Consider the following 13028-nt stretch of genomic DNA (forward strand, 5'->3'; position numbering starts at 1 on the left):
CAACGTCTATTTCCTGATTTTGATAACGTACTATGATCACGTAAGACGTTATCACTGGGGGAAACTACATGAAGGGTACCTGAGACCTTTCTGTACCATTTTGCAGCTTCCTGTGAATCTATAATTGTTTTAAAGTAAAGACTTGGTATTCAGTTTTCTTTTGTGGCTGTCTTGGTATAACAATAGGAAAGTAGTCCTTCATTCAACATGACTGCAGCAGCTTGCACTCTCTTTCAGAAGTCCCAGGATTATTAGTAGAAATTGAGGCTGGGCACGGTGGCTCATGTCTGTAATCCCAGCACTTTGGGAGGCCGAGGTGGGAGGGCTGCTTGAGCCCAGGAGTTTGACAGCAGCCTGGCCAACACAGTGGGACCCGATCTCAATAACAAATTTAAAAATTAGCTGGGCATGGTGGCTCATGCCTATAGTCCCAGCTACTCAAGAGGCTTAAGCAGGAGGACTGCTTGAGCCTGGGAGGTAGAGGTTGCAATGAGCCATGTTCACACCACTGCACTCCAGCCTGGGTGACAGAGTGAGATGAGACCCTGTCTCCAAAATAAAAAAAAATAAATAAATTGAGCAATCTCCTGAGAAAGCTGAGAATGATAAACAGGTATTTGATGATTTGGACCTCTCTGGTTTCAGGTCACCTGACCCAGCTCAGGAGCTTGAAGAAAGGGCCAATGGACCAGGCCTGAGAAGTGACTACTTCCTAAGAAATGGTACCATATTTTCATTTCTTTCACTAGACACTAGTATAAGAATAGAGAGGCCATGACTGGAAAATGACAAGATCTGCATACTCCGAGATCAACAACGAAAAGGAAAAGACGTGCCAGAAAACACATAATTGGAAGGAATCTAAATGAGCCTTGTTTTACTTTTTGGATGGGTTTCTGTATTATTTCCTCATGGCTGTGGTTCCCAAGCAGTGGGAACAGAGTACTCACTGGGACACTGAAGGGTATCTTGAATTTTAAAGAGGAGCGCAGTGACACTGGACATCTGTTGGGCATTTCAACAACTGCTAGCTTGAGATAGTTCCCAGTTTCAACGTTAGGCTGTGTCACACTTCTTTCAATGATGTCATAACAAATAGAACTGCTAGGTATCTCTTGACCTACAGGTCTTGTGAAAAAGCTATTGAGGCACTAGAGCACTATGAATGTGCAAGTTGGAAACCTCCACGTTAGGGTATATCTGGTGTTTAAGTAATTAATTTCAAGCATTTTGGATGCTTGACCATCTGTCTCACTCTGGGCATTCTAAGGACAACTTATAATCTGGACTCCATAATTCGATATCTATATCTTTGCTGGAATTTCTTCCTGACGTCACCGAGTCAACCCATTCACTCTCTACCTACATGAAAAATAAATATGCAAGTAACATCATCTCCATGGACGACACCATCACAATCACTCATTTCCCAGGTTAGAGGCCAGGGAGTCATGCCTGAACCTGCACACTCGTTAATGGTCCTCATTTAATACTTTGCCAGGTCTACCACTCACCACTCTCATTCATCACAGCCTTTGTCTCAGACCCCCATTTCACCCTCAGATTGCTAGACCTGAGGGTGAAACAGTTGCTGGACCTGAGGGTTATAACAGGTTTGTTGTTGTTGTTGTTGTTGTTGTTTTAGAAATGGAGGAGGGTCTCACTCTGTTGTCCAGGCTGAGCTAGAATTCCTGGACTCAAGTGAGTCTCCCGCCTCAGCCTCCCGAGTAGCCAAGACTACAGGCACACAACACCACAGCTGGCTATCGCAACAGTGTTTTAACTGGTTTCTCTGTCTTGCAGCTTTTCAATCCATCCCCTGTAATGCTGCCAGACAACTTTTTCTGAAACACAAATCTTCACTGTGGCACTCCCCTACCTAAAGCTCTTCAGTGCCTCCCCATGCCCTTTAGGGAAATAGGGAAAATGACATTTAGGATGCCATTCAATGCTATCTGTGATCTTAACCCTGCCTAATAATCTCCTTTCCCTGCAACCCTTCTCTTGACCTTCAGCCATCCCAAACTACTTGTGGTTCTCAATGTGCCATGTCTCCGTGCTTCTCCTTTGGACCTCTGCTTGTTCTGTTTCTGCTTAAATGTTTTTCCTACTTCAGCCATCATTTAAGATCCAGTTAAATGGCGCCTCCTCTGTGAAGCCTCTCCTGATGGGACCAAGTAGTCCTCAGAATGCACCCATTGAGCTCCATTCCATTCTTCCATCATAGCTCTGATTACACTTCTCAGCACTTTTTTTGTTGAGATATTTGTCTTTTTCTGTTAGCCCATTCTTGAAGGCAGGAACTGATATGGTTTGACTGTGTCCCCACCCAAATCTCACCTTGAATGGCAGTTCCCATAATTCCCACGTATTGTGGGAAGGACCTGGTGGGAGATAACTGAATCATGGGGTGGTTTCCCCCATGCTGTTCTTGTGATAGTGAATAAGGCTCATGAGATCCGATGGTTTTATAAGGAGTTTCCTCTTTCGCTTGGCCCTCTTTTCTCTCGTCTGCCACCATGTAAGACGTGCCTTCTACCATTATTGTGAGGCCTCCCCAGCCATGTGGAACTGTGAGTCCATTAAACCTCTTTTCCTTTATAAATTACCCAGTCTCGGGTATGTCTTTATCAGCAGCGTGAAAACGGACAAATACAGGGACCATTGTTTACTCATCTTTGTATTCTCAGAGTACCCAGCCCTCTGTATTCTCAGAATACCCATGTGCCTGACACACATGGGTATTCAACAAACATTATAGAGAATAATGAGGGTCTATCTCAGATTCTCTCCTTTGTCCTGGCGCACACTTGGTGCCATGTCTGCTTTTGCACTGATCACACTGATTTTCAGTCGTTTTCCCCACTAAACCACGAGCTCCTTGTGGGTGGGGAAAGACCAATAAAAGCAGCAGTAACAACTATTTATTAACTGCCTACTTCACTTCATGTTCCCTTCTAAGTTCTTTCTTTCTTCTTTTTCCTTCCTTCTTTCCTTCCATCCTCCCTCCCTCTCTTCTCTTCTTCTCTTTTTCTCTCTCTCTCTTTCTTTCTCGATGGGTTCTCGCTCTGTCGCCCAGGCTGGAATCCTTCTAGGTACTTTAAATATGTTACTTTTAATCTTGATAATGGCCTTGAAAGCAATACTATTAGTATCAATTTTGAATAAGGATAGGAGGGATTTAATTAGAGAGAACGAAGAGACAGAGAGAGAGGAACAGGGAGTCTAGAAGAGTGGTTTAAAATCAGTACAGTAATGAATAATGACCCACTGGGACAAAAAGTAGAATTCCTGAGTCCATACTGATAAATAAATATATAAATGGGAGGAAAGGGAGGGCTTTTGTTTACAATAGAATGCTGAAGGCAAATGTGGAAGGAGTGGTACACTTACAAAAATCACTATTTTACAATCAATAAAACATTTTATCAGGCAGGAACCATCAATAAGTGCTAAGTCAATGGGGAAACTTTGGTAAGAAGCGAGATACTGCATTGTCTTAAGGTACCTTTTCATAGATAGCTTATCAGGTGCAAAGGAGAGAAACAGAAGAACTGGGTCAAAGTAGTTGGCTGAACAAAATCATCACCACTAACGAGGGAGATGTGGACACCAGGTACCAAGTGTGAGACTCTGAAAAGGACACGTCGCCAACACAGTATTCCATCTGAGGACGTACAACCTCAATCTAGCCACAAGGAAAAATCAGGCAAATATAAAACAAAAACCATTTCTTTTATTTATTTATTTTTTTTTTTGAGATGGTCTCACTCTGTTGCCCAGAATAAAGTGCAATGGCATAATCACGGGTCACTGCAGCCTTGACCTCCTGGGCTCAGATGATCCTTCCACCTTAGCCCCCTAAGTAGCTGGGACTACAGGTTCGTGCCATCACACCCAGGAAATTTTTCTATTTTTAAATAGTGATGGAGTCTCACTATGTTGCCCAGAGTGGTCTTGAACTCCTGGGGTCAAGGGATCCACCTGCCTCGGTCTCCCAAAGTTCTAGGATTACAGGTGTAAGCCACTGCACCTCACCAAGAAACATTTCTATTAAAAGAAAGGGAAGGGGGGAACTGTATTCTTTTGAAATAGCAACATCATAAAAGACAAAGGAAGACTGTGGAAATGTTCCAAATTGAAGGTGACTACAGAGACTTGAGAAGAAAATATAGTATCTGCCTAGATTAGGGGTTGGGTAACTGTGGCTGGTAGGCCCAATCTGGCCACATTTAGCTCACAAACCTGTTTTAAGGACAGTCTTTGCATTTTTAAAAGGTTGTAAAATGAGTAAACAAGCAAAGAAGAATATCTGACAGAGGCTGTATGTGCCTTGCAAACCTCAAATATTTACTTTATATAAAAATTAAAATATTTACTTTATATCTTCTTTTTTTTTTTTTTTTTTTTTTTTGAGATGGAGTCTCACCCTTTCGCCCAGGCTGGAGTGCAGTCGTCCAGGCTTGACTCACTGCAACCTCCACCTCCCGGGTTCAAGAGATTCTCCTGCCTCAGCTTCCTGAGTACCTGAGATTACAGGCCCCCGCCACCACACCCAGCTAATTTTAGTATTTTTATTAGAGATGGAGTTTCACTATGTTGGCCAGGTTGGTCTCGAACTCCTGACCTCAAGTGATCTGCCCACCTCAGCCTTCCTCCCAAAGTGCTGGGATTACAGGCATGAGCCACTGCGCCGGGCCCATATTTTCTTTATAAACAAAGCTGGCTGACTCCTATAGAGTAGATCCTGAACTGGAGGGGGAAATGCTATAAAGGACATTACAAGCTGATCTGACAAAATTTGAATATGGATGGTAGATTAAAGTCATGTATCAGTTTACAATTTTGAAGTTGATAACTGTATCGTGGTTGTAAGAGAAAATATTCCTAGTTTTAAGAAATTCACACTGAAACATTTAGGGCAAAGGACCATGACCAATGCAACATTTCCTCAAATGGTTCAGAAAAGACGATGTGTGCACATGTATGCTGGGGGGGTGGGGGGCAGGGGTGGGGAAGGGAGGGAGAGAGAACGAGAGAGAACGGGAGCAAAAGAGAGAGAGCAAGAGAACAAGCAAATGGCAGAAAAATGGTAACAGGTGATTTTGCAAATCTGTGTCCTTTGTTCTATTTTTATCATTGCACTTTTTTGTAAATTTGAAATAATTTCCAAATTTAAAACAAAAGAAAAAGAAAGAAGGAAGGAAAGAAGGGAATACAGGCTCTGGAGTCAGATGCCAGGGCTTAAATCCCATTTCTACTCCTTACTGGCTGTTTCATCTTGAACAAGTTACTGAACCCCTTGATGTGTCAATTTCTCATCCATAAGACAGAGGTCAGACTGGGCATGGTGGCCCATGCCTGTAATCCCAGCACTTTGGGAGACTGAGACAGGCGTATCACTTGGGGTCAGGAGGTCGAAACCAGCCTGGCTAACATGGTGAAACCCTGTCTCTACTAAAAACACAAAAATTAAATGGGTGTGGTGGCTCACGCCTGTAGTCCCAGCTACTCAGGAGGCTAAGGCAGGAGAATCGCTTGAAGGGAGGAGGCAGAGGTTGCAGTGAGCCGAGGTTGCGTCACCACACTCCAGCCTGTGCAACAGAGCAAGACTCCATCTTAAAAAAAAAAAAAAAAGAAACACAGAGGTCTTGATAGTACCTACCTTGTAGGGATGCTGTGAGGATTTAAAAATACACTTGGCAGTGTCTGTCACATACTAAGCATTCACCAAATTAGGTGGTTTTATAAAAATAAAAATAACTGAAGCAGCAATAACTGAATCATGCTATGAGCCAGGTGCTGTGTTAACAATGTATTAACAAAGCTATGTTAACAAAGTGTTTCATAACAATGGCCTCGGCTAGCAATATACCCATTTTCCAGATGAAAAGCTAGACAGGGGCCAAGATTAAAGCCCTCTAATCAATCTGACTCCACTCATAATCTCTTCTCATTCATTACACTACAGAAAGATGAAAGGACTTGCACAAAGTCACCTAGTCAACAAGTGGCAGTGTAAGATTTGTGCCAAGTCTACTTTTCAATTAACCCTGTGGCTTTCCATTCTTCATGTCTGAGCACTGTGTCCCTTGCTGCACAGCCTGGTGTCCAGAACTCAGCAGGCATTCAATAAACACTTGAAGAACTGAATTGGCTTGAATGAGATGGTTTGCTATCTATTTCCTCTATCCTCATGGGAAAAGAGAAGAAATCTTACAGACTGAAGTAAAGGATTAGACTAAAATTAAATTGTCCTGTTTTAAATGTTCCTTTGAATACTGCCAATGGTTTTGAAAGATGCCTTGTAGTATAAAAAAGATCAATGGACTAGAGGGAGAGAAGGCTGTGATTCCAGTTTGACACAGCCATTTAAGCCAGTTTCTTCACCGTTCAGACCTCAGATTCCATACGGAAAAAGTGAGAGGGTTAAATCACATATCTAAAACACCTCAGAAGAGATCTTCTGATCCTAGGCTTGACTTGATTTCTAGAAATAATCTTCTAAATACAATGTACAGAATGCAATCACAGGTAACAACAAGGCACTGGAGAAGACAAGGCAACATGAATGAGAACCTGCAGAAATGACAGACAACAAACACACGCCCACAGGAACTTTAGTCATTGGAATTATCAGATACAAACCATAAAACAACTCACTTCCAGTACTCAAGAAGATAAAACCCAAGCTTGAAAACTTCGGCAGGGAAATAGAAATTATACAAAATAGCATTTTTGAAATAAACCAAGCAGAAATTATACAATTAAAAAAACATAAAATACAAAATTAAGAAATTAATGGTTGAATTTAATAGCACAGGAGACACAGCTGAAGCAAGACTTAGTGAACTGGAAGATGAATCAATAGAAACTACCCAAAATGAAATATGGAGAGATGGAGAGACAAAAGCACAAAAAATACAAATGAGAAGGCAAGAGATATAAAAAAATAAATATAATGACGTCTAACATATGTTTAATTGGAGTCCTAGAGGAGAACATATAATGAGAAAGAATAAGTATTTAAAGAAATAAAGACTAAGAAATTTTCCAGAACTTCTCTAGAAAATTAGCAAATTATTTTAGTGGCCCACCTCTATCAAGAACTGGATTTTTCCTTTGCTAGGAGTTATTTACTTAAGAAAGATACTAGATTCATATACTTGTTCTATCTAATAAAAGGACTAAAGGGGGAAAAATGGAAATAGTGTTATAAACTAAAATCCCAAACAAAATTCTCCAGATGCCAAGATTCAAGCAATCTAAAATTTGATAGATACCTCAATATTGCTTCTGACAGCTAGAAACCCATATGGGGACTATTTACTATTTTAGCTTTTCCCTGTCATTCCAGGAAAGGACTAGAGGTTATTACAAGGGCATTTTGCTTTTGTTTTGTTAGCATGCACCTTCTAAAATTGCAAACCAGAAAGTACTTCAAGGTGTCCAGAGGAGGGCTAAACAAGAAGCAATTTCACATGGAAAAGAGTTTATGAGCCCAGCAGACAGAATTTAGTGCTTTCTTATTTTTGTTTTGGGAAAGGTAGCAAGCACGCAGATCATCCCTATAACAACGTAAGAGGAAAATAAAGAGAGAAGAGAAGGAAAGAACAGCAGGGTCAGGGAACAGAAGATTCCATGTTTGAGTTATTCTTACCTTTCTGTGTGCTATCAGGAGGCAATTAGAGTGTTCGTGTTCACATGCAATTTCATATTCGGGGATCAGATCCACCAGCTCGCGGACAAACTGTACCACTTCCTCATGCCAGGGCACATGGGCCATGGTAAGACTGCTTGCTGAACTTTCTCTGCAGTAGGTAACGCCCTGTGGAAACAGTATAACCATCAGAGATGACTACAGACCTACCTGCATGTCATAGAAGACTTTCAGAGCCGGAAAGCCTTCTTGAGGTCAACCAATGCAATCCAGTCCGTATTTTACAGTGAAGGAAGTGAATATAGAGATGATAAAATCTGCCTAGGAGACCATACAAGTAGCTACTGACAAAGACAGCAGGCTGATGCTCTTGCTACTCTATGACATTGCTGGGGCTTAAGTACCTGCGCTTTCTACCGTTGTCACAATCTAGGCTGTCTGGTCACAATAATGTATTTGAATCAATAGCATGTCTTTTGATTCAGATTCATCTGTGCACTATAATTGAGGAATTATGAAGGGGTTATCACCCCTTAGGACAATAATGGGGGCATAGTGGACACTCATAAAAATTCACTGACCAAGTAATTGATTCACTGGGAAAATAAGCTGAGCTTCCATTTTCTAGTATAATTGAGATTGAAACTGGCAAACTTTTTCCTTAAAGTGACAGATAAGGATCCCTTTAAAATTATTACTATTATCATTATTTTTGAGACAGAGTCTTGCTCTGTCACCTAAGCTGGAGTGCAGTGGCACAATCGCGGCTCACCACAACCTCCACTTCCTGGTTCAAGAGAGTCTCGTGCCTCAGCCTTCCGAGTAGCTGGGATTACAGGCGCCTGCCACCACGCCTGGCTAATTTTTGTATTTTTAGTAGAGATGGGGTTTCGCCATGTTGACCAGGCTGGTCTTGAATTCCTGGCCTCAAGCAATCTACCTGCCCCGGCCTCCCAAAGTGCTGGGATCACAGGTGTGAGCCACTACACCTGGCCTAAAATTATTCTTTAAGGAGTTCATTTTGTAATGCACTTTGAATGTGGTTACATAAACAATCATGCCAAAAGGGAAATATATTTGTGCATGTACCTACATACCTTTACACACAACTACATATACACATGTATTTCACCAACACAGAAATTCTTAAGTACAACTGCAGAAAGTTAAATTATCTAACTCTTTTGGACTCTACCTAATAGCCAAGGCACACAAGACCCCAGAATTTCATAACTAAGTTCTTTATTTGGTAAATTACATAATGGTAAAATGATTAATTTTCTAATACTAAAAGATTTATCTTATTTCTTGAAATAAATCTTACCTCTGTGGGCTCTTCAAATACCCACAAATCAAACTTTTCTCAACAACTTGTTGAGAAAATCCCAGAAATGATTCCGCTAAGTGGGGAATAACTGGGAGGGAGTGGGGAGAAAGGCATGTGCACCTCTCATACACATTCACTCACAGACACACACACAAACACACACAAATACATATAAAGACAGGACACACACACACCACAGACAAATTGGAGAATGCAGAATGACACTGAATTTTTTTTTTTTTTTTTTTTTTTTTGTTGCCCAGGCTGGAGTGCAGTGGCCTGATCTCGGCTCACTGCAGCCTCCGCCTCCTGGGTTGAAGCGATTCTCCTGCCTTAGCCTCCCAAGTAGCTGGGAATACAGGCATGTGCCACCATGCCCAGCTAATTTTTGTATTTTTAGTAGAGATGGAGTTTCGCCATGTTGGCCAGGCTGGTCTTGAACTCCTGACCTCAAATGATCTGCCCATCTCGGCCTCCCATGTGCTGGGATTACAGGTGTGAGCCAACACGCCTGGCCAACACTTAATTTTTAAAAACCAACAAATGAGCAGAGTGACCCTGACCCTGATGACAGAGCTGGGACTTGGACGAAGACTCACATGAGCTTTGCCAAACACTCGACTCAAGACAGCTGTTCAAAAAGATGACTGGTGCACTAAACTGTGATGGCCTTTGTGGAATATAAACCACAGCCACCCAGCTTAATTACAATAAACAAGAGAATCTTCTCAGTTTGCCCAGTGATTTAGAGAATTCATTAAACGGAGTTGGAGCTGAAACTGTGCCCCACAGAGTTAAAGAAACCAACGACTAACAGAAATCCTTGTGTTTGCAGGATGGCAGTGTAAGAAAATAAACAACTTGCTAAAACTGCTGAAACTCCCTCTGCTTGTGAGATTTAAAAAAAATGGATGAAATTGGTTGGAACCAACATGGCCAATGGAGTCTGAGTAGAAAGAGCTTGCTGACGTCACAGCCCGAATTTCCACCACATTTCATACTAACTCCCCCTAAATTTGCATATGCAAACCACGAGCAAGGATGATCAAACAGACAACTGCGCATGTCCGAGGACTTTCCAGATCTCCCCTTTCCTTCCACCAATCACTTACTAATCTGAGAATCCATCCCCTAATAAAATCACTGCCTTAAAACCTGCACAGGAAGACAAATTTGAGCTGGACTTAGTGTCTCTTTATTAGTCGACTTGCAATAAAAAAGCTTTCTTTTCCCCCCTCAAAAACCCTATGTCAATTAGTATTGGCTTCCAGAGCATCAGGCAGTGAGCCCCTTTTGCTCAGTAACAGAGCTTAAGGTGAATAAAAAAGGAAAATAATGATATGGTTCAAGAAATCATTACGGGCCGGGCGCGGTGGCTCACGCCTGTAATCCCAGCACTTTGGGAGGCCGAGGCGGGTGGATCATGAGGTCAGGAGATCGAGACCATCCTGGCTAACAAGGTGAAACCCCGTCTCTACTAAAAATACAAAAAATTAGCCGGGCACGGTGGCGGGCGCCTGTAGTCCCAGCTACTCGGGAGGCTGAGGCAGGAGAATGGCGTGAACCCGGGAAGCGGAGCTTGCAGTGAGCCGAGATTGCGCCACTGCAGTCCGCAGTCTGGCCTGGGCGACAGAGCAAGACTCCGTCTCAAAAAAAAAAAAAAAAAAAGAAATCATTACGAAAGCATGGCTGAAAAACTGCTAGCCTTACCAAGTGCATAAAAAACATGAAAATTATTTATTGATAAGCATTAGTCATAAAAGTGTACTCTATCTCAATTTAAATACTGCTTATGTGTGGATTACACAAACAACCATGTATGCAGTAGCTACTTCAAAGGACTTTCTTTTTAATATTTAAAAAGTTAGTTCACTGAATCAGAGTTGTTAGATAAGATCTTGTCTTCGTGAGAACAGCTTTTGAAAATATTTTAATATTTTATTACTCAGCAAAAATAGCCATGAAACACTGAGGGGAGATTTAGTTTGGGAATGGAATGAGAGAATGCCTGCTGCGGTTCATTATCATGACTCCACCCATTCCTTACAACTCTATGATGCTTTATGGTATTTTCACATAAAAGTTCTCATTTTTGCCAGATAAAACCCTTTGAGGAGGCTAGGCACGGTGACTCATGCCTGTAATCCCAGCTCTTTGGGAGGCTGAGGCGGGCAGATCACTTGAGGTCAGGAATTCGAGACCAGCCTTGCCGACATGGTGAAACCCTGTCTCTATTAAAAATACAAAAATTGGCTGGGCGTGGTGGTGCCCGCCTGTAATCCCAGCTACTTGGGAGGCTGAGGCAGGAGAATCGCTCGAACCCAGTAGGCGGAGATTGCAGCAAGCTGAGATAGTGCCTCTCCACTCCAGCCTGGGCAACAGAGCAAGACTCTGTCTCAAAACAAAACAAAACAAAAACCAAACAACAACAACAAAACCCTCTGAGGGAAGCAGTCCTGGGTAACTTCCTGAGTCAACCGCAAAGCCAGAGGCTGCACCGTGACAGAAATGCTCTGGGCAGAAAATGTTCTTGGTGACTTAGACTGGGGGTCACCTCAGGGACCCCGAGCTCTCACTCAGAGCCCAATGGCTCTGTCTGGTTTTCTCTCTGCTGCGACTGCCCCACTTCATCCTACCCTCTAGTCTACTGATGGCTTGCCCTGACTTTATTCCTGAGCACAGAATTATCTAAAAAACTTTCCCTTCATATCACAGCTGTCTGCCACCTTCTCACCCACTCTCACCCTCACCCTCACCCTCACCCCCAACTCCATTTATCAGAAGCAGCAAGTTCTTCACCCAAAACTCTGAATAAAGAACAGTCTGAAGAAAATAGATGGGTACAGCGTGGTGATGGAAAAGCCAAGTCACTCACATCAGAATCTGCAGGCTGAGGAGTAACAAGCAGACCCCAAGAATGTTCGTGAAGAACAGGATCATTTATGCATCCTTGAGTTTGCAGTGAAAAGCATAACCCACACTTTTATAGCCTGGTAGCTTTTGGACCCACCCCCACTGCCCTAGGAGATGGGGGCTGCCATACTGTGGCTATCTGAGCGTTCAAACCTCATGCTGAAATGTGATCCCCAGTGTTGGGGGTGGAGCCCAATGGGAGGTGTTTGGGTCACAAGGACAATGTCCATCTGTCTGTCTCTCTGTCCGTCTGTCTGTCTCTCTTTCTCTGTCTTCTGCCATGACTGAAAGCAGCCTGTGGCCCTCACCACAAGCAGCTGTTGGCACCATGCTTCTTGTAGAGCCTGCAGAGCCATGAGCCAAACAAACCTCCTTTCTTCATAAATGATTTTTTTTTCCCCACAATAAACCCCAAATACTTCATTCCTTTATCCTAAAAATGCTTCAATAACTCCCCTTTAAACCAGCCTGAGCTTCTCACCACGGCACGAGGCCTTCCTCACCTGCCTCCGTAGCTTGCGCTAACAATGGACCATCAGCCATTCAAGCCCCTGTCTTTGGCCATATGCACAAGTAACTCTAGAGCTGGACTGCCCACTCAGCATCCTGTCTGCACCTGGCTAAACCGACCCATCATTTCTTTAACCTCCATTCAGGAACCTCTACGCTATCTGACCCTGATCTTATCATATCCTGTGTAGTTATCTGTTACCAGGTAACTGGTATAAAGAAGCGTCAAAACTCTGAGCCCTTTGAGGGCAGGGGCTGTGCCTTGCTCTTCTTGGCACCCCAAATCAATCTATGCTAAATGATCAAAAAATCAAGTCAGACATTCTCCTACGACATTAAACTCCACAACTCTTTTCTAATCCAATACAAAATTTCATTCACATGACTCAGGAGTTTTCTACTCTGTAACAGGTATGAACCAGCTGATAAACGCTGGTTAGGGACTGCTACGTATAAGAAAAACTGACAGTATTCCTCACCTTTGTGGGAGAGAGTGAGGCTATGCTAAGACAATCATTTTGCAGGGTGCATTCTGCAAGGATTGAGCACTACACACAGCTAGGGTGCCAACAGTAAGTAGTTTTAAATCATTTGACAACAAATAATTACTGAGCACGT

General features: G+C 42.7%; 1 protein-coding gene across 4 annotated transcripts in view; it reads right to left on the minus strand.

Annotated features, from left to right (window-relative positions):
• The window catches only part of TYW1B (tRNA-yW synthesizing protein 1 homolog B), a 253688-nt gene that overhangs the window by 34499 nt on the left and 206161 nt on the right, over window positions 1–13028 (minus strand). For all 4 annotated transcript variants that reach the window (NM_001412180.1, NM_001412179.1, NM_001145440.3 and 1 more), the window contains one exon: window positions 7661–7828. In NM_001412180.1, coding sequence (NP_001399109.1) covers window positions 7661–7828 — 168 coding nt within the window. The remainder of the gene's footprint in view (window positions 1–7660; window positions 7829–13028) is intronic.

Source organism: Homo sapiens, chromosome 7 (genome assembly GCF_000001405.40).
Source record: "Homo sapiens chromosome 7, GRCh38.p14 Primary Assembly".
In the NCBI taxonomy this organism is placed as follows: domain Eukaryota; kingdom Metazoa; phylum Chordata; class Mammalia; order Primates; family Hominidae; genus Homo; species Homo sapiens.